This window comes from Homo sapiens, chromosome 5 (assembly GCF_000001405.40).
Source record: "Homo sapiens chromosome 5, GRCh38.p14 Primary Assembly".
Lineage (NCBI taxonomy): Eukaryota > Metazoa > Chordata > Mammalia > Primates > Hominidae > Homo > Homo sapiens.
This window is the reverse complement of record NC_000005.10, coordinates 2189473-2193420: the sequence shown is the minus strand read 5'-3', so window position 1 is coordinate 2193420 and position 3948 is coordinate 2189473. Positions and strand designations below refer to the sequence as shown.

At 45.4% G+C, this 3948-nt stretch overlaps 2 annotated features.

Moving 5' to 3' along the window:
• Positions 752-1252: an enhancer, noted in NCBI's record as "H3K4me1 hESC enhancer chr5:2192283-2192783 (GRCh37/hg19 assembly coordinates)". NCBI's record gives its function as "activates a minimal SCP1, AML or CMV promoter by ChIP-STARR-seq in naive H9 embryonic stem cells {active_cell/tissue: H9 hESC(naive)}" and the evidence as "EXISTENCE:reporter gene assay evidence [ECO:0000049][PMID:30033119]".
• Positions 1253-1753: an enhancer, noted in NCBI's record as "H3K4me1 hESC enhancer chr5:2191782-2192282 (GRCh37/hg19 assembly coordinates)". NCBI's record gives its function as "activates a minimal SCP1, AML or CMV promoter by ChIP-STARR-seq in naive and primed H9 embryonic stem cells {active_cell/tissue: H9 hESC(naive and primed)}" and the evidence as "EXISTENCE:reporter gene assay evidence [ECO:0000049][PMID:30033119]".

Sequence of the window (3948 nt, the reverse complement as noted above, 5' to 3'; positions counted from 1 at the left end):
GGACCTAAGAAAGAAGCTGCAGTTTCAGGTCATCATTGACTCTTCAAGGTTGGCACATACCTCGGTCCGGCTGTGCTACCCCAGATCAAGTGGTACCCCCAGGAGTGGGATGTGGCACTGGCTTGTGGCTGGAGGTTCCTCCTCAGCACTGCCAGGAGGGGCCTGCACCAGGAGTCCTGGCCAGCACCCACTGAACACTTTAACTGCACTTACTACACTGTGATGTCTCATTCTAAAATTTGTCACCTGAACCACGTACCTCTAAATGTTAGGAAAGAAGGGAGTTGGTGTTTGTGAAACTGCCACGTGAACCATAGAACACCAGGCACAGGTGAGATACTATCGTGCATGACATTCCAGAATAATTTCTCCCTTTTCCTTTAGGAGAAATTTTTAGAAATGTTCGTATCTGTCAGTATCTGAGTTTGTCTACAAATGGCCACAGAGGACGCTTTCAAGATTCCAAGCCTCATTCAACATGTCTTTGGTGTGACTCTGGATCTGAGGTGGGGAACAGGCAACCACAGCCATGGGCACCCTTCAAGCCATCAGGCCAGGGCCTCCTCCTCTCGTTTCCTGCTCCAATAAGTTTGCAAGTTTGCAGATAGGGAAATGCCTTGGCCAGGGGTCCACCACACTCTTTGAAGAATGTGGCTTCTTGCAGGTAAGACAGCGTGGGGTCAGGTGGAGCTGCACCTGGCTCTGCTGCTGAGGGGAGCATCCTTGCCGCAGGCGGTACTTCTGTCTAATCAGTCTCCTGCAGAGCACCCCTGCTGTATCCTGGCCAAATGCCCGCCGCCGATGGAACCAGACGTAGAGGACACAGAAATGATGCTGAAAGCCACCCAAGTGAAGTCTAGCAGGGATAAATGTGAGTGTGGCTGAGATTTAAAGAGCCACCCTCAGGGTCCCAGGATGGCAGTGACCTAGAGCAGCAGCAATTCATGTGGAAAAGGGTTTGATGGTCTAAACTATGAGCTGAATAATGTGTAATAGGATTAGAAATGTTTGCAGTTCTTAGAAAACACTTGAACTTTTCAACAGCTTGGACAGCGCAGGCAGCGGGGGTAAGAGAAGGCAAGTCCTGGAATGGTCTGAACATACAGGCAGGCGGCAGGGCCTGTGCCAAGGAGCAGCCGGGATGGGCACCTGCCCCACCTCCCATCCTGTCAGTGCAAACCTGCAGCAGAAAGGGCCAATGCCCACAGCTCTGAGAGTGCTTGGGACCAGGAATCCTGAGCAAGGGCCCCCAGCCCAGGTACCACACTAAGAGGTGGTGCTTGGATTTTGCAGAATCAAGGTGGCTCAGAGGACAGGTGCTGGACAGGCCAGGCCCAGCTCAGCAGGGCAGAGGCCAGGTGGAAGGCTGTCCCCAAACTGCTCAGGGTAACCCGGGCCTCACATGGCAGCAGCGCTGGAAAGAGCTGGTGGCTGCAGCAGGAAGTGGCTCTTTAGCACCTCCAAGCACACGGAGGACACTTGGGAAGGGCTGGAATCCTTCCTGAGCCAAGGCCAGGATGCACAGAGATTTCAGTGTTGATGTAAATCCGATTTTATCCAGAACTATGGACTATTGAGGTCCCAGATGGAACCACCCCCAGTCTCTGATCTTTTTTTTTTTTTTTTTTTGAGACAGAGTGTCTCTCTGTCACCCAGGCTGGAGTGTAGTGGCACAATCTCAGCTCACTACAACGTCCGCCTCCCGGGTTCAAGCAATTCTCCTGCTTCAGCCTCCTGAGTAGCTGGGACTACAGGCACATGCCGCTACGCACGGCTAATGTTTTTGTATTCTAGTGGAGACGGGGTTTCACCGTGTTGCCCAGGCTGGTTGAGAACTCCTGAGCTCAGGCAAACCACCTGCCTCGGCCTCCCAAAGTGCTGGAATTATAGGTGTGAGCCATTGAGCCCGGCCCAGTCTCTAATCTTCAGGAAGCTGCCGAGTAACCTGTTCCTTCCTGAAGGGGCTCGTGGGGATTCTTCCCCCGAAGGCGGTTTGCCCATAACCTGTCATCACCCATCCGCGGAAGGATTCTTTGTATAATTAATATGTTTATCAATCCAAGCCTCATAGTGTAGCGTGATGATTGAGTATAGACCAGAATATGAAATGTTATGAGTTCAGGAATAACCTTCATTACACAAAAAATCACAGGCTCATAGAGCCCCGGGATGCTGTATCAGACCGATCCTATCTGGCATCTCATAAATCAAATACCCCCTCCGATTGGCTTTTCCTATGTGAGTGCCTGTGCTGAGGCTTTATTTCACAGGCTCTCAGGTTCATCAGAGAATTAAGAGACAGTGATTGATTCTTAACTGGAGCCCATCAACCCCAGTTAAAATTTCATAATATTCACATTAATTAAAGTGCTTCATTATCCATTTTCTTTTGCATAGAGTGAGTTGGGCACCTCCGGGTTTTGGAAAAGCAAATATATTTGAAATGAAGCCCTGACTCATTTAATTGTAACCACCAGGGAAACAGTGGCAAAATTCTAAAACAGGGAGTGTTAGGAAGTAGCTGCCAAAGTACGTTTCCCAGAGTAAATCACCAGGAGGGGGTCTCATGCTGCCATGGCAGAGGTGCAGATGGACAGCCGGGATTTTGGGCCACAGTTGCTCAGACACGAGAAATGACTCCGTGTTTTATCCACAGTTGTGTGGTAGGAAAGTTCCAAATGTTGGAGGCGAGGTCTGAGAGGCTCCACAGTCCAGCAAAAGCGCCGCCTGGGCAGCCCTGGGTGGGTCTGTTCTTCACCTCTCTCCCCTTCCCTGGAGACCCCCACACCGGAAGCCCCACATCCCGTGTGGTTTGGACCCCTGCAGGAAGGATTTTCTCCTGAAATCCCTATGAGGTAGAGGTGATTATCATTCCTATTTTACTGCAGAGAATTCTAAGATTTAAAGGTTAGAAAAAGTGTGCAGGACACTACAGCATCTGCTTCCATCTACATAAACTCCGCGGCATTAAAACAGAGAAAAGGGATCAGGAACAGACAGAGGTTAGGGATCGCTGCAATTGCCCTACGAACTTAATTGACCTAAATTATGCATGTAGAGCACCGGAGATCAGAGATAACACGTTATTTTCAAGCAAGGAAATAATCATGTATTTTGAGGGAACACAAAATACCAAGATACACTCTATTCTAGACCATAGCAGAATTCTTTAATAAATTTGATAGAATTCAAATTATATAGAATATGTTCTCTGACCATAATATAATTAAATTAGAAACCAATAACAGAAAAAATTGTCTGGAAATAGAGATATTGAGGAAGACTGAAATAGCTGGAGAGATACACCCATGTTCATAGATCAGGAGATTCCATTTTGTTAAAATATCAGTTTTTTCCACATTGATCTCAATCCCAAACTTGATTTTTTTGTAAGATTTAAAAATCTGATTCTCAAATTAAATGGAAATGAAAAGGATTTTAAATGGGCAAAACAAATTTAAAAAGTTGGAACACCTACAGTGTGGTTTCAGGACTTATGATAAAGTTACAGTAATTTAGACAGAGTTATAATTGCACAAAAAAAATCCAAGTATATAAATTTTTTAAAAACAGACAATCTGAAACAGGCTTGCATGTGTGAGGTCAAATGATATTTTTTAAAAGGATAAGATTTTTACCAAATCATGATGGAACACATGGTCAACCACCTTGATTCCCACCTCACACCACATACAAAATGACCTTGATGTTGAAAAGCTAAAGCTTTAAAACTTTAAGATAACACTGAAAAAAAATCTTAGTATTTATGTTTCACAAATATTTCTTCAATGCTTTCACAAAAAAGGATACAAGAAAAATCAATAAATTGAACTTGCCAAGATTAAAAACAATTGCTCTTTAAAACTTATAAAAATCAAAATTCAAGCCACATATTGGGAGAAAAATATTTGCAAAACATGTATTTGACAAAGGATCTATATCTAGTAT